Source organism: Homo sapiens, chromosome 11 (assembly GCF_000001405.40).
Source record: "Homo sapiens chromosome 11, GRCh38.p14 Primary Assembly".
Taxonomy (NCBI): domain Eukaryota; kingdom Metazoa; phylum Chordata; class Mammalia; order Primates; family Hominidae; genus Homo; species Homo sapiens.
In genome coordinates this window covers 18,026,116-18,046,529 of record NC_000011.10, presented here as the reverse complement: position 1 = coordinate 18,046,529, position 20,414 = coordinate 18,026,116, and the positions used below count along the sequence as shown (strand labels likewise).

The 20,414-nt window shown below is 38.2% G+C and overlaps 1 protein-coding gene across 1 annotated transcript in view; it reads left to right on the top strand.

Moving 5' to 3' along the window:
- Positions 1-260: 260 nt before the first annotated feature.
- The window catches only part of TPH1 (tryptophan hydroxylase 1), a 28,715-nt gene continuing 8,561 nt past the window's right edge, over positions 261-20,414 (top strand). The window contains exons 1-7 of the mRNA NM_004179.3: positions 261-289; positions 5,742-5,884; positions 10,388-10,571; positions 13,156-13,256; positions 16,951-17,018; positions 17,169-17,365; positions 19,905-20,040. Coding sequence (NP_004170.1) covers positions 5,768-5,884; positions 10,388-10,571; positions 13,156-13,256; positions 16,951-17,018; positions 17,169-17,365; positions 19,905-20,040 — 803 coding nt within the window. The 5' untranslated portion in view covers positions 261-289; positions 5,742-5,767. The remainder of the gene's footprint in view (positions 290-5,741; positions 5,885-10,387; positions 10,572-13,155; positions 13,257-16,950; positions 17,019-17,168; positions 17,366-19,904; positions 20,041-20,414) is intronic.

Below are 20,414 nucleotides of genomic sequence, written 5' to 3'. Positions count from 1 at the left end.
GCGTTATCTTGGTTTGGAGAGAATGTCCAACTCTGGATTGTTCAGTGTTAGTCAGACTTGTGTGGTTAAGGACGGCCTAACATTCACTTAATTAAAACACCAGTCAGATACACGCAGAGATTGAGGCGTGCAAGTCTCTGGGAGCAGGCGGACGCGACTGCCCACGCCCCACACCCGCCGGCCCTCCCTTCTCATTGGCCGCTGCCCAGCTGCTCCGACGCCCGCTTCTATAAGAGACAGGCAGCGCGGGGCCGCCGGCCGACCCAGCCTGCACCTACTGGCGCCCGAGGTGAGTGAGGCGGCCCTTCCCGCGGGCACCGGGGACCGCCGTCGAGGCTTTGGCGGCGCTTGGCAGGCGCGGGGCTGGGCAGAGTCACCCTCCCGGGAGGTAAATTGGTGGTCTTGCGGAGTCAGATTTGGGAGGTCGGAGTTGTACCCCTATAAACGCTTACTATTCTTTCCTCCCACGCTGTTTGGGGAGAAAAGACACTTTCTGAGTGCCTCCTGTGTGCCAGGAACAGACTCTTTAGCCATCATGAGATTTCACCTTCATGACAAACTCTGGTAGATATTTCTTGAGTCCCCAGATGAGGAAAGTGGGGTCCAGAGTCCAACCCAAGTCTGTGTGACTCCTCTATGTTGGCAGAAACAGTAAGATTTTTCTTCCTTCCCTTCCTCTCCATCAAAGGGCAATGTCTCTTTTTTTCTTCTCCTCCCATGAAGGGAAGCTTCCCTTAAACAGCCTCCCGAAGAAGAAGGAGTCTCAGATGCAAAGCTTCTCAGCATCGCACTTACCATCATCACCACCATCCCAACAGACGACTGAGAGCTTTTTGCAAGGTCGCAATTGACAAAGAGGACTAGGTCCTTGCGGTTTAGAGTCAGTTAAGAGTCCGTGTGAACTCAACCTTGCCTTTGGCGTTTGATTTTCAGAGGTTTAAAATGAACTTCTCATTGATGTCCCACTCTACTTGACTTAGCAGGAAAAAGACTAGAGTTGAACTTGCTAACCCAGGAAAAGTTTGTGCCTGTTAGTTAAAAAAAAAAGGGGGGGGTGGAATTCTAATATCAATGTTTCTGTAAAGTTATAATCTGTGGTTTACATATGTTATCACTGAGGTCCATTTGTACATGTATTATTAGATTATCTCCAGATAGGGATGTGTCTTCTATTTCCATTTTCTCTGCCAGTGCCTTTATTTCCTAGAATACTGTTTTTCATGGATAGTGTTTTCTTTTGTATTTCATCTACACTTTCATCCTCATTCCCACTCCTTATTTAGAAAAGAAAATCAAGACTCCGTAGAGGATTCCCTCCCTCTGAAAGAATCCTCCTTGCAGTTTTTAGTTCTGTCTTCAAACAATATCCATGCTTTCAAAAGACTAATTCAGTAGTGCTTTGTGCTTCCTAGATCCGGTAAATATAAATTACACTTGTTTTACTGATTAAACTAAGGGAAGAAAAGAGTTGGTCATTGTATACGCCTTGACCTCTCCCAAGGGTCGGGTCTGTTGATCTTCTGAGTGTCTTCTTGGTATTTTTTCCTTATTTCCAGTGGTATGTCCTACACAGTGCATCCTTAGGCCAGGAGACGCAGTAGGAAAATGACTCTACCTTTCATGAGAAAAGGGTACCAGTTGGTATTAGCTGATCAGAGAGTTGCTTTAAAAATAAAATGCTTATGTATTGATGAGACACTGATTCAAACAAGTGTGACCTATTTTATCTTACCAGGTTAGTATTGTGTTTTTTTGTTTTGTTTTGTTTTGTTTTGTTTTCCTGAAAGAGTAGGAGGAGGTGGGTAGGTTGAAAGGGGAAAGGAAAAAGTAACAAGGCAAAATATTGAGGTTCTGAAAGCGGTTTGGGGTTAACTGGAGGAAAAAATAACTGATGCCTCATAAGCTCTGTCAACCAAGCAAAGTTATGGCCAAGTTTTAGTAACGATCAAAGATCTATGTCCTGTAAGATTATTTTGGGGTGGGGGGGAACAAAAAAGAGGGTGAGAATTTTCTTCTAGTTTTCTAGTTTCTTAGCAAAAGTTCCTTTTGAGAACCTTCATTTTTACCATGACTTAAACAAGGAGGAGTGTTTCCACATCTTTTTTTTTGAGACGCAGTCTTGCTCTGTCACCTGGGCTGGAGTGCAGTGGCGTGATCCTGGCTCACTGCAACCTCCGCCTCCCAGGTTCAAGCCATTCTCCTACCTCAGCCTCCCAAGTAGCTGGGACTACAGGCGCCCGCCACCACACCCAGCCAATTTTTGTATTTTTAGTAGAGACGGGGTTTCACCATGTTGGCCAGGATGGTCTCGCTCTCTTGACCTCATGATTCGCCCGCCTCGGCCTCCTAAAGTGCTGGGAATTACAGGTGTGAGCCACTTACATCTTAATATAATAATGTATGTCTTTAAATACATCAAAATAATATAAATGCCTTGCATATCATAAATTTCAATTAATGTATCCTTCACCCTCCTCTCCCCACACCAACTAAGGAGATGTTGGCACAAAACTTGATCCATTCCAGAATCAGGTAAAGAAAATAATTATGAACCCTAAAGGGATGGAGCCATGACTGTTAGCACCTTCTCACAATAGCAACTTCCAGGAAAGCTTAGGGACCAGTTTTGAAAATTGAAGGAAATTCTCTTTTTTTTTTTTTTAAGAGACAGGGTTTCACTCTGTCACCCAGGCTGGACTGCAGTGGCGCGATCATGGATCACTGCAGCCTAGAACTCCTGAGCTCAAGCAAGCCTCCTGCCTCAGCCTCCCTAGTAGCTGGGACTGCAGGTGAAAGCCACTATGCCCAGCTAACTTAAACAATTTTTTTTGTTGTTGTTGTTCATACAGCATCTCACTATGTTACCCAGGCTCTTCATAATAGTTTTTGTTGTTGTTGTTGTTTGTTTGTTTTTGTTTTTGTTTTTTGAGACGGAGTCTCACTCTACTGCCCTGCCAGAGTGCAGCGACACGATCTTGCTCCCTGCAACCTCTGCCTCCTGAGTTCAAACGATTTTCATGCCTCAGCCTCCCGAGTAGCTGGGATTACATGCATGTGTCATCATGCCAGGCTAATTTTTGTATTTTTAGTAGAGACGGGGTTTCACCATGTTGGCCAGGCTGGTCTTCAACTCCTGACCTCAAGTGATCCACCCACTTTGGCTTTCCAATGTGCTGGGATTACAGGCATGAGCCGCAGCAGCTGGCCTCATATAGTTTTATATGAAGAGTTTTATTCCAAGCTCCAAGAGGTTGTTGAAAGACAAATTATCAGGAGATCTAGAATTCTGTTAGTGTTACCACTGACTGGAAAAAATCAGTGGTAACTTTTCTTTACTGTTCTCTGATCCTTGCTCCCAGTTCTTAAAGCTGATTTACATGATGAAGCTAGTGGTTGGCCAGGAAATAGCTTATATTTGCAGAATCCTCTTCCTTCTGCATGTCATGGTGATGGTATCAGGAAACATGAGGACTCAGTAACTATAGGGTAACTCAGTACATTTTACTTTGGGGTCTTTGTCTATTTGTTTGCAAAAAAACTGCTGAATTATTTTCTTGAGATTTGGAATTTAATACACTTTAGGGGTTTTATAATAAATTAATGAAACTGAAATCACCTTGATACAAAACAATACTGACATTTTATATCATAAAGCAACTTTTCCACATGTTTGCTATTGTAAGAAATATGTTAACCATCTTGTAAAATGCCTAATTCCTAGGGCAAGAAAAATTCTTAGCCAGAGGTATTTAGAATGTCTATTTCATTACTTGAACATTTTCTCTTTTTTTGAAAACTGGAAAATTTGGGACATATTCCCCATTACTTGAGATAATACTTATTGAGTACTTAGTGTAGGTTAGCAACTGTTCTAAGAGTTTTATGTAAATTATAACTATTTAATTCTCATAAGTTTATATATGTTTAATCCTCCTTATAATCATGAGAGTGGTGTTAATTATCCTCCCTCCAAGTTTGCAAATAAAGAGGTTGATACATATAAAGATTATAACTTGCCTAGATGGATTTGCAGAAAGATTTATTACTAGCAATTTGTTATATTATTTTGCATCTCTTTTATTGTTTACATTTTCACGCTTTAGGACAACGTCGCCCATACTCTGTGTTTGATAAGAAAAGTCAATCTTTGAGTGGTAATTGAATGGGTAAGAAACGTTTCTGAAAGTTTTCACATCCCTAAAAACATTTTGAGAATGCTTATCTGAGGCCATCCCTGAATTTTTAGCCCCAGAGCCACCAATTTGGAATTTTCTGTGTATACTTAAGTTTACCTTAAGAAATGGTCACTTCCTTTGAAGTGGAAAATCTCTTAAGATCTCCTGCTTCTCATCCATAAATCCTTTCTCAGCAGAGACTCATGGATGGGCTAGAAGCTATATTCAGTCATCTTTAGAAGCACATGGGATATTGATCAAAGGGGTGGGGTGGTGGGAAGGTGAGGGGTGGTTGAGTGTACTCCTTGGGTGTCATGGCTGGGATCTCAGTGTCCCTTCTTTTCTGCTTATTTGTACTTATTGAGAAGTCTGTCTTCCATTTTCTCCTTCCCCATGAACAAGTGTGTGAATTATTTGGAGGCAAGTTGTCTTGTTTTTAAATTTTTACTGCCCTAACTTTGACTGTGGTGCTTCACACATGTGAATGCGCTTGGGTTGAAATTTTATTCGTTTTACCATTAGTAATTATTTGAATCAAAGAAAAATCCACATAATTATTCAGTTTAACTGGCCATTTAGTTTTATAGCATTTGAAATAGAAATTGTTTTTAGTTCTAGAGACTAATTTGGCATAATTTAAAAATCTTGGTAGTTTTGGAAACTTGAACCCAATGAATTCATAAATGTTAGTTAAATTTTGAATTATGTATCTCTAACTCTTCTTGGTACCTGAAATATCCTAGTTTCTTCCGTGAGGAAAATCTCAGAATAGCACGCCATGTTATGATGTTTTAAAACGAGTGAGAATTTTGGATGTTATGAGTTCTGGTAGCTGTTTGGTAACTTAGTTTTATATTAGAAAGGTTAAGTAGCATGCCCGAGGTCATACACTGATAAACATGAGGCCAATGATTAGATATGTCTGACTTCACATTCCACATATTTCCTTACACTGTTTTGCAGTGTAAATAGGTGGTTAAGAAGATACCAAAGTAGATCTCTGGTTCATCTTCTGAGAAGCAGAACTAGAATTCTCCTGGCTAGCAGTTATCCATCTAGTGCATATGTATCTAGAGCTGGCCAGGCCTTTAGTTTACAAAATAAATAGAAAGCCTTGTCCCCACTCTGGAGGAGCTTGCTGCCTTGTTAGAAGGTGAGATATGTTCGAATAGAACATTTGGGGAAACCATTTGAGACCTGGTATAATGAAGTGCTAAGATTGTGGGCAAGGTGGGGAGGAGGTAGGCCTTCCTGACTAGTTTAGGCTACAATAGTTGGGAAGACTGCAAGAAGCCAGCAGGCTTCAGTCATGCCCTAAAAGAGCGATTGGTTTAGAAAAAAAACAAAAGGGAACTACTAACATGTATTCTATTCTAGGCAGGTGTCAGGCAAAGTTGTATCTTATTTTGGTCTCACTAGATTCTTGCAAAGCTTATCTGCATATCCAGGTTTTATAAAAGGTTAAGAAACTGAAGCTCCTAGAAGTAAATGAGCCCTTAGTTATCAAATATTGTCTGCATTGTGCAACTTCTTTTTTAGCCCGTAGTCTTTGTTTTCATACTTTAGTTTTAGAGAATTACTCCAAATTCATCATGATTGAAGACAATAAGGAGAACAAAGACCATTCCTTAGAAAGGGGAAGAGCAAGTCTCATTTTTTCCTTAAAGAATGAAGTTGGAGGACTTATAAAAGCCCTGAAAATCTTTCAGGTAAGCATTTTCTGTATTTTTGCACAGAATTCTTCTAGAAATGAATCTCTAAAACTATATTTAAAATATAGGGCAACATAGCAAGACCCTATCTCTTAAAAAAAAACAAATTTAGCTGGGTGTGGTGGTGGACTCCTGTAGTTCCAGCTACCTGGGAGGCTGGGGTGGGAGGATTGCTTCAGTCCGGGAGTCCAGGGTTACAGTGAGTGAGCTATGATCACACCACTGCACTCTAGCCTAGGTATCAGAGTGAGATTTTCTCTCTATATATATATCTATATTTATATATAGATAAAATATATAAATATATAATTTTTATATATTATATATATAAATTATTGTAAACTCTTCAGAGATGGAGTACAAACATTTGTTAAGAACTTACATTTCTAAAATAGTGCTGAATTCTAACAAGGGATACAAACAATTTACAGAAGAGGAGATACAAATAGCTACTTCGAGAAATGGGGGAGAAAAGATTCACTTTATAGATTTTAGAGAAGCAAATTTTAATTTTATTTTAATAAAATATTAAAATTTTATCAATATATAATCATATATTATTAATTATATACTTGAGATTTAATGATATAGTCATAGTATATTTAATGATATTATTTTCATGTAGCAAAGATTCTATAATGACAGTGTCTCCTATTGTCAGAACTTCATTGCATTGGAGGTACATTACCCTCCAATGCACCTTTGGCACAAGGATAAATTTGTGTACCATGTAGGGAAACTATCTGGTAATATGTATTATGAGCCTTAAAATGTTCATATTTTTGACCCATAATTCTAATTTCATAAATCTGTCTTAAAAATATGGATCAGTCAGGCAGAACACGAATATTTATTGAGTCCTTACTATGTGTCAGGTACCACACCAGACACTAAGGATGTGGAGCTGGACAAAGTAAACACAGTGCCTGTCCTCACAGAGTATGTAATCTAGTGGGGAAGGCAACATTAAACAAACAACTGCAGTAAGTGAATAATCACTATGTGTAAAGTGACATGAAACAGAAATACCAGATATTCTGACAGCATTGAACTTGGGGGACCTAACTGAGTTTAAGGGCTCAGGGACACACAAAGATTTATTGTTTATAGGAACTAAAAATTATAAATAAGCCACTTGTCCTAATATAGGGGATGTTGAATTGTGATAGCAGAACACCACTGTGGTTAAGCTCTGGTCTCCAGAGACAGGCCACCTGGATTCATATCCTTGCTCTGTCAGTTATTACCTGGGTGATCGTGGGCAAATTGATTAATCTCTCCACACTTCATGATTTATGTCCATAAAATGAGAACTCTACCTACCTCATAGGGTCATTGTGAGCATTAGTAGAGTTAATATCTCTAAAATGCTTAGGATGGTACAGTACAAAGTAAGTGAACAATAGATGTTAGCTATGTTAATAATCATATGACATACTATTATATAGCTGTTTGCAAAGAATATTTCAAAGAATTAAAAATCTTAAATATAGATAGTCTAGAAGAGCTTGTAATGAAAAGCATCAGTTTTCTTACCTAACACATACCATATTCTCAGTCCCACTCCCTAGAGGCAACCTCTTTTAACTATTTCTGGTCGTTAGTTTTTTTGGTGGTGAGTTTATGAAATCTAAACATTGCTCTTATATGTCTTTTCAAGTTATCAACTTCACACTATATTCATTTACTTTCTATTATGAACAATGATACTGATACCACCTCCCTCCCTTCCCTCTCCCAGTCCTTCCAAATCTGATACTTTTATTATTACTTTTAGCTATTCTATTGATTACCTTTGGGTCTTTAAATAAAATACCTGTATGTCTTCTTCCATCAGCTTTTTTTAAATTTAATTTTTAATCGAAGAATAATTGTGCATAGCTTAAAAACAACTCAACCTGTACTATAAAACATATTTTTAAAAAAGTAGTGTTTTGCTCCATCTCTCTTCATTCCAAAGTTCCATTTAATTTTTTTGCAACCTTGTGTGCAGAAGCTTGAGTTAATCACACTCATTAAATCACGTGTACACTATCATCGTTGATTTGTGCAACCTCTTCCTGTTTTATTTCATTCTTGAATTCTATCTCCATTTCTCTCTTCTGATAGAGAGCTGCTCTCATGTTTGATATGTACATTGAATTACTTTGTCTGCACTTTAGAATATGTAGTCTTTGTGTGTGCGTATATTAGTAATTTATATAATCATATTGTGCTATAAAGATTCTTTTTCCCATCCAGCACTGTGTTTTTAAGACCTATGCACGCTGCTGTGTGAACATCTCATTCATTCTTCTAACTGCTACATGGTGTTCTCTGGGTGTGTCTCCACCTGCCTAGTGGAGACAACCTAGTTATCCCCTGCCTAGTGGAGGCAACCATTTTCAACTCTTTAAACTATTTTTCTAATATTTACTTCCACACTTATAAGTTATATGCTTATTCTGCTTCTACTTCTTGATTTCTAGAATTATAGGTAATTATCTATTGATTTTCAACAATGAAGTAAAAATTTAGGTTTCTTGACACAACTCCCCTTCCGATGGCCTCTTCAACTTCTTTTCCACTCGTCTTCCCAATGTATTTGTGTCCCGGTTTTTGGCTCTGTCAATCTTTAGTGTCTTTATTATTAAGATTATGTAAATATTGTTTGAAGAAGAGCCTTAGTATCCACCTTTGTGACTCTTCCTTTCTTGGGCAACAGGATTACAGCATAGTGTTTAAGCACATGGACTGTGGAGCTGGACAGACTAGATTTGAATTCCGGCTCTGACACTTGTCACCTGTGTGCTTCTGGCCAAACTGCTTAACCTCTCTATGCCTCTGTTTCTGTAACTGAAATGTCTGATAGGGAATGTTTCACTTACTACTTCTACTTTATCTGAATTTTCCAGACCGTATTTTTCTTCCAGATGAACTTGGAAATTATTTAATTACATTTCCTCACCAAATTCCATTGAGATTTTAATTTAGGAATGATTGACATTTTTGCATCTTTTTTTTTCTCCAAAGACATAGTTTAGCTTTATATTTATTCAAGTCATCATTTAGAAAATATTTACAAATGCATTATTAATGTAAAAATTTATAAGAAATAGATGAAATGAAACTCTTCTTTACACCTGATCAATCCCAATATATTTTGTAACTGACTTCTATTGATTCTGTGATAAATTATATGTTCCCAGATAAACCCTGCCTATTCTAATTTTCTAACATCCTCTATCACTCACTCCTCTTTCTTGTTAGCTCATGTTCCCTGATAATATTTTTTTTTTTTTTTTTGAGAAAGGGTCTCACTTTGTCACCCAGGCTGGAGTGCAGTGGCACAATCACAGCTCACTGTAGCCTTAACCTCCTGGTCTCAAGTGACCCTCCCACCTCAGTATCCCGAGTAGCTGGGACTACTGGTGTGCGCCACTACGCCTGGCTAATTTATTATTTTTTGTAGAGACAGGGTCTTGCTATGTGGTCCAGGCTGGTCCTGAACTCCTGGGCTCAAGTGATTCTTCCACCTTGGCCTCCCAGAGTGTTGGAATTACAGGCGTGAGCCACCACGCCTGGCCTATTCTATCTATTCTTTAAGATTCATTTAAGTTCCCACCTGCTCCATGAAACTTTCTACTCTCTCTTAAGTCGTAATGCTTTTCCCTTTGCTGAGCACCTGCATCCGAACACTCTTTACTTTATTTTCTTAATCTTCCATGTGTTCACCAACTAGATTCTAAATTCCTTTATGTCTTCCCTTTATATTCTTCGCAGCCCTTACCTAGTTACACAGGTGTTCATTAAGTTATTTTAGGATGCACTGGTTAGTATTGGAGATTATCTGCTCTAACCTTCTCATTGTTTTAGATGAAAAAACTATAGGGTGATTAGTGCTCATGTTTCATTATCATGTCCCCAGCACTCTTCCTCAGCTACCCAAATTGGTAAGAGAACATACCCTCCTCCCACACTTATACACAGAGCACCCCCATCTTAGGCTGACTTGGGAGAGGTCAGAAGAGGAGATCTGGTTCAGCTGTTACTAAGATTGTAGCTTAAGAGATTTGAGGTATTAAATACTCTGTGCTCAAGCTGTTCATCTAATTTAATTAAATGGATTTTTGAAAGGGAAACTCTTCTTTCTCCAGGACTAACATTGGTATCACTTTTTGAAAACTAGCTTTTATTTATGAGAATTTTCAAAAGATTCCTCTTACCCAGGAAACTTAATAATATTTTGATTTGAATTCTGATTAATTCTGACATCTGAAGGACCTCTAGTGTGTGTTATTTTATTGGTTTCTGGAGGATGGGATGAATTTTGAAAAGTTTTCTAATACATAATTTTTAAGAAGGAATTATTTTGTTGTTGGCAGCACTAAAAACAGTCTTTTTCCCTTTGCTGTTCTGAGAAGTGTGAATCTGATTTTTAGTGGTAATTAAAGTAGCCTGCTCAAAGACTATTAACATTTGAGGCAGTTACATGAAATCTTTTCCCTGTGCTTTACACAGGAGAAGCATGTGAATCTGTTACATATCGAGTCCCGAAAATCAAAAAGAAGAAACTCAGAATTTGAGATTTTTGTTGACTGTGACATCAACAGAGAACAATTGAATGATATTTTTCATCTGCTGAAGTCTCATACCAATGTTCTCTCTGTGAATCTACCAGATAATTTTACTTTGAAGGAAGATGGTAAGTTCAAAATGTGAAAATACTACTTAGAAGATGAAACACCTAATGTGTGTCCAGCCTTATATTTATCTTGAAGACATTAAAATAATAAAACACAAGCTCTCCAAATTGCTTACAGTCTGATAGTGAAGGGAACACAAAATATAGTTGCTCCAGATACCAAAGAAAAATTATAAAGCAACATTTGATCAAGTGTAAGAGAAATGAAAAAGAAAATCTTGAGTATAAGAAACAGCTGGGTGTGGTGGCTCATGCCTGTAATCCCCGCACTTTGGCAAGCCGAGGCAGACTCACTTGAGTCCAGGAGTTCAGGACCATCCTGGGCAACATGGAGAGACCCAGTCTGTGCAAAAAATACAAAAACTAGCCAGGTGTGGTGGCATGCATCTATGGTCCCAGCTACTCTGGAGGCTGAGGTGGGAGGATCACCTGAGCCCAGGAGGTTGAGGCTGTAGAGCTGAGCCGAGATTGTACCACTGCACTCCCGTTTGGGTGACAGAACAAGACCCTGTCAAAAAAAAAAAAAGAAAGGAAAGAGAGAAAGAAAGAAAGAAAAAAGAAAGAAAAAGAAAGAAAAGAAAGAAAGAAAGAAAAAGAAAGACAGACAATTTGGCATAATCAGAAATTGATAATTGATTATCTCTCAATTTCCAAATCATCAACATTTCTTGATTTGACAAACCTATAATTCACAATCCCTGAGCACTTAGTAAGTCTCATAAGACTTGTCATCTAGCAGATAGTAAATGAATATTTAAATTTGTTGAGAATGTTGACAGTTGCTCACAACTATGAAATGACACACAATATGTATAGCAGGGGACTCGTCCGTGGCCTGTTAGGAACCAGGCTGCACAGCAGCAGGTGGGCAGCAGGCCCGGCGATCCTTACCGCCTGAGCTCCGTCTAGGAGCGTAAACCCTATTGTGAACTGCGAGTGCGAGGGATCTAGGTTGTGTGCTTCTTATGAGAATCCAATGCCTGATGAAACCATCTCCCACCTCCCCGTCTTTCCTTCTTGGAAAAATTGTCTTCCACAAAACCACTCCCTGGTGCCAAAAACAGGAACAACTGATGTACAGCATTCCTTCCAAAAGCAAATGGGAAACAATAAAGCCTTTTGAAGTTTCAGATACTCAGGTAGCAAAGATAAAGGTTAAGATCTCTACTGGTAAAAAAAAAATCCTTGGAGTTCACTCGAGGCAAAAGACAAATAGATAATTTAGGTACATTTTATATATGGTACTCAATCTAAAATAATCTCTTCAGATTATGTCCACAATATTTGAGGTGTAATCAGGACTGCTATTCATCTGCTATGTGTTCGTACAGCTATATAATTATTAAAATACTGATATATCTCCACTTCTGGCTGGCAGAGAGCTACTTCCCCAAGTCCCTTGAGGGCTCCTCACCATGCCTGAAGCCTCTGTTGCTCCAGATACTGTCCCCCCAAGAAGTCCCATACCCATCATTAACAACTAAAGGGTTAACACCTTGCAGAGCAGAAGCCTAGGACTCTGCTGATGTCTATTTTGAGTGATTACTGCTCCTTTTGTATTTGTTGTTAAATCCCTTGAATATCACTCCTGGATATGTTAGAAAGAGCAATATGCTGGGGCAAGAAGAGCTGAGTTCTAGTCCTCTGTATTCCAAAAGGAGTGAGTTACCTTGGATAAATTACCTCTCTGGAGTTTGATTACCTCATCTGTAAAATGCAGAGGTGTATAGATGACGAGATAGTTCAGTTGATATTTAGGGTATACCAACCTTGTGACAGATATTTCTACTAAAAAATAGGGATACAAAAAGATATAGTCTCCACCCTACAGTTGTTTCCAGTCTTTCATGTAAGACAGACATATAAACAGGTACATTATAATAAAACATAGTAAAAGCCTTTAGAGAGAAACATAACATCACAGGAACCCAGGGGACAGATAATTAGCTGTACCTACAGGGTGAGGGAAGGCTTTGCGGAATGAGAAGATCTCATTAGATTTGGGTCTTGAAGGATGTGACGGATATTCTCAGGAAAACAGAAGGGTAGGGTGGGGCAGGGAATGGGAGTGGAATAGCTATTCCAGGCAGAAAAGTAGCATTTATAAAACCCCATAGTCTTATGAGGGCTTGCGTGTCTGAGGAATGGTGAGAAGATCAAGGTGGCAAAGACAAATGATTTCTAAGATCTTTTCCATCGGCAAAAATAAATGAAGTTTTTATTAAGTTTGTACCTTGGTCTGTAAATAAAGTTGTGCATCTTTATTCTGCTTTTGTTGAATAACTAAATATGTAGCTTAAGCATTTTTAAAACTTTCAGTCTGTTTCTAAAGTACAGTATTTCTCCAAAACTTAGACATCAACCTGAAGACTCAAAAAAAAATTAAAGCTCAGAAATTTTGAATAAATTTTACTTTTTAGAAATAGGGCAATTTACCTAACTCATATAAATCTTGCCTTGATGTACAAGCTAAAATTAAAACTCTCATCCAACTGAATTTAATTTTATCTTCTTTATTGTCTTGTTTAAGATTATCTCTTCAACTTTTACTGGTTTTTATTTTATTTTATTTTAAATTTTACAGGTATGGAAACTGTTCCTTGGTTTCCAAAGAAGATTTCTGACCTGGACCATTGTGCCAACAGAGTTCTGATGTATGGATCTGAACTAGATGCAGACCATCCTGTAAGTATTTTCTTTTTTTTTAAGAGCAAGTCTTGCTCTGCTGTCCAGACTGGAGTGCAGTGGCACGATCTCGGCTTACTGCAACCTCTGCTTCTTGGGTTCAAGTGATTCTCCTGCCTTAGCCTCCCAAGTAGCTGGGATCACAGGTGCCCACAACCACACCCAGCTAATTTTTGTATTTTTAGTAGAGATGGGGTTTCACCATGTTGGCCAGGCTGGTCTCAAACTCCTGACCTCAGGTGATCCACCTGCCTTGGTCTCCCAAAGTGCTGGGATAACAGGCATAAACTATCACCCAGTAAGTATGTTTAATAAATATTTTTATAAAAACAATTTAAAGCAAACTAAAAATTAAGGGCAACTTTTTTAGAGAAAGTGTTTTTTCTAGACTAAATGAGACATTGTTTTAATCAAGATTTCAACAAGCGGGCCGGGTGCAGTGGCTCGCGCCTGTAAGCCCAGCACTTTGGGAGGCCGATGCGGGTGGATCACGAGGTCAGGAGATCGAGATCATCCTGGCTAACATAGTGAGACCCCGTCTCTACTAAAAATACAAAAAAATTAGCCGGGCGTGGTGGCGGGCGCCTGTAGTCCCAGCTACTCGGGAGGCTGAAGCAGGAGAATGGCGTGAACCTGGGAGGTGGAGCTTGCAGTGAGCCGAGATCACACGACCGCACTCCAGCCTGGGCAACAGAGTGAGACTCTGTCTCAAAAAAAAAAAAAAAAAAAAAAAAAAGATTTCAACAAGTGTTAGTAGACCTCCATATTGGTGGAATTGAGACTAACTGCCTGAAAAACATGTAGCTTCATTTGTTCCAAAATATCTGTCCCATGCCCAGCATTCCTATTATTAAGAGCTATTCAAAAGGTTATACTAAAACGAAGACAGCATCTGCAATCAGTTTTTATTTAAATGAGCATGGGTTATTGGAAAGGGAGATAAATAAAAGTGGGCCAGAGAAAGACTTGCCCCCCACACTGCCCACCATGATTGGTTTATTAGGCAGTTGATGAACTAGGAAGTTGTTTCCTGAGAAAATTGTACAGTACAGGCAAGAGTTGGAGAATTAGTAAATCTAGAGCATTTCTGGGAGGGGAGGAGAGAAGAGAGTGCAATTGTGAAGTTAAACTGACCAGAGCTTTAATGTAGCTTCTCTCATGTGTTAGCTGTGTGAATGTGACCTTTTTATACTACCTTAGACAGCCACTAGATGATCTGTCCAATTATTCTATAATCTTATTGAATAACTATTGCAATTAATTGCAGTACTTGCCGGAAAGGAGCATGTAGTCTAGTTGAAAAGCTAAAGCACACATATGTAAATAAACACACACAAGATAAAATGTAAAAAGTGCACTAGGTGAAAATTTTGCTTCATGAAAAAATTGCCTCAAAATACACATAAGAGAGCAAACACTTCTAGCTGAAGAGATCAGAGAAAGGCGACATTTCAATTGGGCCTTAAAAGATTTCAGGAGATAAGAGATGGAAAGGAAGAACAATTCAGGAGGGAACAATATGAGCAAAGGTTCAGAGGCAAGAAAATCTGGGGCATGTTTATGGAAAGGTGAGTACATCAGTTTTACTGATCTACTAAGTCCTGCTGATTTTCACCTCCTAGGTATTTCTTAAATGTGTTCCTTATTCATCCCTACTACCACATCCCTTAAACTGGTCTCCCTTCTTTTAGCCTTGTCACCTTCAAACACCTCCTCCTTATCCTCATTAGAATGACCTAAAACCTCAATATGACTATTATTCATCTTCTCTCTTAAAAATCACCAATGGCTCCTAGGTACATACTTAAAAGAATTGAAAATATATGTTCCTACAAAAACATATACACAAATGATTGTAGCAGCCTTATTCATAATAGCAAAAAAGTGGAAACAACCCAAACATCCATTAACTGATAAATGGATGAAGCATGGTATATTTATATAAGCAAATATTATTGGCCATAAAAAGAGATGGAATACTGGTATGTGCTACAACATAGATGAACCTTGAAAACATTATGATGAATGAAAGAAGCTAGTGACAAAAGGTCCCATATTGTATGATTCCTTTTATATGAAATGTCTAGAATAGAAAAATACATAGAAATAGACAGTGGATTACTGGTTGCCAGGAGCTGAGGAGGGTTGGGGTGGAGTTGGAGAGTGATTGCTAATGAGCATGGTGTTTCTTTTTGGGTGACAGAATCTTTCTGAAATTAGATGATGGAGATGGTTGTTTAACTCTGTGACTATCTAAAAACCACTGAATGGTTATTTTATGGTATGTGAATTATACCTCAATAAAGTTATTTAAAAAACACCAGTGGGTTCCCATTACCCAAGGCTAAACTCCAAGCTCCTTAATGGACCTTTAATTTGCAGACACCAACTAGTTTCAACATGCTCTGCCTTACTCTCCAAGTTTGAGCAACATGGGGTTGCTTATATTTTCTTAGGCACAACATGCTGTTTTTGTTTGTTTGTTTGTTTGTTTGTTTTAATCACTGTGCTATTTCCACTCTTCTTTTGTGTCTTAGCTCGAGAGTCATCACTGGGAAGCCTTCCCTGAACCACACAATCGTCTTAAGTGTGCATGCCGTTCTGTACAATATGATGAGACATTTATTGTATCATTTTACAATAACAGGTTCATGTAAACTCCTTTAAGCCCCAGACTGTGCTTTGTTCATATCTGTTTTTCCAGATTTTAGCACAAATCATAGTAAATCTGTGCTACCTCATAGATCTGTATTAAAGAGATGAGTCTCATTCTCTCTTTTCAGATGTCCCCTTCTTTCCCATTATTTGCATTTTTTTCTCCTGGGCTTTGATTTTTGATTTTTTTTTTTTTCAAGATAGAGTCTCCCTCTATTGCCTAGGCTGGGATGCAGCAGCACCATCATACCTCACTGCAGCCTAGAATTCCTGGGCTGAAGCCATCCTCCTGCCTCACCTTCCTGAGGAGCTGGGACAACAGGCATGCACCATCACACTTGGCTAGTTATAATTGTTATTTTAAATTTTTTTTGTACAGACAGGGTCTCCCTTTGTTGCCCAGGCTGGTCTCAAACTCCTGGGCTCAAGTGATTCTCCTTCGTAGGTCTCCCAAAGTGTTGAGATTACAGGCCTGAGCCACCATGCTCAGCCATTTTGTCTAAAAAAATTTTTTTTCATGAGTATAAATTCTAATGTTACTATTTTGTCTGCTTTTTAAATCATCATTGTTTCTGCAAATGGCAAATATATTTGCATTTTGTGATAAAATCTAAGGCTAGATTCAGTTAAGTCACTATTTCAAATATTAATTACTTTTTATTATTAATTACTATTACAGGTAAATATAACAAGATATAGTCAAATGATTAAGGAAAAAACCCCTCACCCTTGGAAAAGAGCCATGTATTTAACTGGGATGGTGGTTTACTTATTCTTTAAACTGTTTTATCTTTGTAGGCACAATTCCATCTTTGTATCCATTATATCTTTTATCTTTGTAGCTACTGGAGTATAAAGCTGTCATGTAACATTGACTTTAAAATAAAAATGATCATAAATCTCTAAATAATGCTTGCTCATAGTATCAATTATGTAGCCCTTTAATATAATAGCTCTAGTAATAATGAAATGTTTCCCAAATATCATTTGTCAAGTATTTTTTAGTATGGATATTTAAAAACATATCTTTAATTATCAGGGCTTCAAAGACAATGTCTACCGTAAACGTCGAAAGTATTTTGCGGACTTGGCTATGAACTATAAACAGTAAGTATATTTAAAAAAATATAGTCAACTTTGAGATAATAAAATAAGTGAATAGAATAAATTGTGTTCATTTGGTAAGTAGAAAGTGAAATAAGTGCCACTATTTATTAAATGCTAATTCAAAACAACTCCTTCCCTTTATCTCATTAGTGGAGACCCCATTCCAAAGGTTGAATTCACTGAAGAGGAGATTAAGACCTGGGGAACCGTATTCCAAGAGCTCAACAAACTCTACCCAACCCATGCTTGCAGAGAGTATCTCAAAAACTTACCTTTGCTTTCTAAATATTGTGGATATCGGGAGGATAATATCCCACAATTGGAAGATGTCTCCAACTTTTTAAAAGGTAATAAGCTAATTAATTTTTTGTAAGGGAGTTGCTGAACTCTGTTTTGATCATGACAGCATTTTTTTTTTTTTTTTTTTTTTGAGACAGAGTCTCTCTTTCTGTTGCCCAGGCTGGAGTACAGTGATGCCATCTTGGCTCACTGCAGCCTCTGTCACTGCAGCCTCTGCCTCCTGGGTTCAAGCGATTCTCTTGCCATGGCCTCCCAAAGTGCTGGGACTACAGGCACCTGCCACCACACCCTGCTAATTTTTGTATTTTTAGTAGGGATGGGGTTTCGCCATGTTGGCCAGGCTGGTCTTGAACTTCTGACCTCAAGTGATCCACCCTCCTCAGCCTCCCAAAGTGCTGGAATTACAGGCGTGAGCCACCACACCCGACAATGACAGCATTTTTAATAGGGGAATAAAGCGTAGTGATATGGGAGGTCAGAATTTTCCCGTACTCTGTCCTGGTGTATTGGATCCAGGATTGGGCACCACATTGAAGGATAATCATAACCTGCAGCCAAGGTAGAGGAAAGTGAGCAGAATTATAAGGGGATTTGAAATTGCATCACATATAAAATTTGAAGAACTCTTAGGGTGTTTAACCTAGAGATTTAGGGGCTGTTATAGCTTTATTTAAATATTTGAAAGCCATCTTTATAACAGAGGGATTACTGTGCGACTCTAAAGTAAAGGACTGTTGGATAGAAACTTCAAGCTTTTGGCCTAGAATAGAGAATATCTTGTTAAAGAGTGATTTGAAAATAGAATAGGCTGATGAGATGGTTAGTTCCTCATCCGTGGGGGTGTTCATGCAAAAGCTCCACACCCATTATTTGGTAGAGGAGATTCAAACATCTTGGAGAAGGTTGAAGACATTTTCCACATTAAGATTTTATAATTTTAGCAAGAAAAAAGATGGTGCTAGTAGAGGCATAAACAAAGGGTAAGGACAATTTTGTTCCTTTTAGTTCTTTATATTTGTTTGATCCAGGCCTCTTTACTTTTTTCTAGCTAGTATAGGAAGTAAAATGATCAGTGATCTATCTTCAAGGGTTTACAATATTTAAGAAGTATAAATTTTCCCTTTTATCTCAGTAGATAATCTCAGCAGATTACCATAGTGGAGAAAACAAAGCAGTTATGCTGTGACTCAAGAGAGTTTAGTTTATTTCCATCGTGGTCTGAAATTGCTGTCTTTGAGTTTCTCTCATAGACTTAAAAAAATCTACATATCTATTTAACTCCTTAACAGTATTCAACAACTATACACAAAACTAGAAGAAATAAACAGGAAAGAGCAATACAGTTTCTACAAGGGAAGAAATTATGTAAGTGGTTTCTATAAAAACTAAACTTTTGAGAAATAGTGATTAAGGATGATAGAGAACCAATGCACATAACATTGCTGGACTTACAAAGATGGACAAATATATGCTACGGAAGTTGTAACATCAAATTTGCATGAGATTTGGAGGAAACGCTTTGTAATGCACACAAAACTGAAAGCTGATCTCTTAGGGTCTGGAGCCTGGGCTGGCTGCAGAATGTGCTGCTGAAAATGCTTCAAGGTCAAATACCAAAGAGAAATCAAAACTAACAGAAAGTTCAAGCAAAAGTTGGAAGGGGATATCTGCACTATTAAATATGGTAGACACTAGAAACATTTGGTTGTTTAAAATTTAAATAACTAAAATAAATGTAAATCAAGAGTTTGGTTCCTCAGTCACACTAACCACATTTCAAATGCTCAATGGCTACATGTGGCTAGTAGTTGCCTTACCGGACAGCACAGATATGGAACATTTCTATCACTATGGAAATTTTTACCGGACAGTGCAGTCTGCCCATCAGAATGGGAGCATCCAAATACAACACAGCTGGATGGAAGTGGAATACCAGAGTTGTGAGGGTTTGGAATGAAGGCCAAGATTAGGGCTTACAGGGGTCTCCTGAACCACTGAATCCTAGTGGCAGGCCTCTTTTACAGTATGCATGCAGTCTTGGCTGTTGGGAGATGGAAGGGCACTATCCAGTTTAGATAAAAGAAAGGGACTACTTTACAAGAGATGGTACTGGCTAAAAATGGCACAGCTTCAAAAATCGTTCTGATTTAAATGAATACATCTTGTTAATGATTTTTTACAAAAAGAAGATTATCTAGGAGATAGTATAACCCCTTAAGGGAGACAGCAAGGTGTTGTATGGCATGAGGAAATCTGAGTTTTCATTCTGCCTTTATCAACTAATGTGTGGACTTGGGCACATTATTGAGTCTCTGAGCCTCCATTTCATAGTTGTCACAATAAGGAGAAACATCCTTAAGTCATGCTGTAAATGTGAAAGGAGATGTGATATGTAAAAGGTCTAACTCATTGCCTGGCCATAGCAAGTGCTTAATAATAATTAGTTCCCCTTAATATGCATATGATAAATTATAGTTTCCATGCCTTCCATCAACGTGTTACTTGGTGCCACTAGCAGAACTAAAATGCTGCAGTCAGGGGTCTATTCTGGTAAAGATTTTCTTTGTTTTCTCCTTTGCTTTGCAGAGCGTACAGGTTTTTCCATCCGTCCTGTGGCTGGTTACTTATCACCAAGAGATTTCTTATCAGGTTTAGCCTTTCGAGTTTTTCACTGCACTCAATATGTGAGACACAGTTCAGATCCCTTCTATACCCCAGAGCCGTAAGTACTTCTATTTCAGCCAGGAATTCATCAAATGGTTATTTATAATAATGGCATCTACCTTATGGGTTCTTTTTTTTTTTTTTTTTTTTTTTTGGTGTGCGAGGATTAAATAAATTAGCACATGTGAAGCATTTAGAATGGTACCTGGCATGAAATACATGTTCCATGCTCTATATGTGTTAGCCATTATGATTATTAATTGACAACCTATTAGGTGCTAGCTGCTATTCTGAGCATAGGGAATGTAACACTGAAAAAAATCAGACACAAATTTCTGCCTGCATAAAGCTTGTATTCCAGTGGGGGAAACAGATAATAAACAAACAAGTAAATGTATGCAAATGTTGCATCGAGTGGTGTTGAGTCCCATG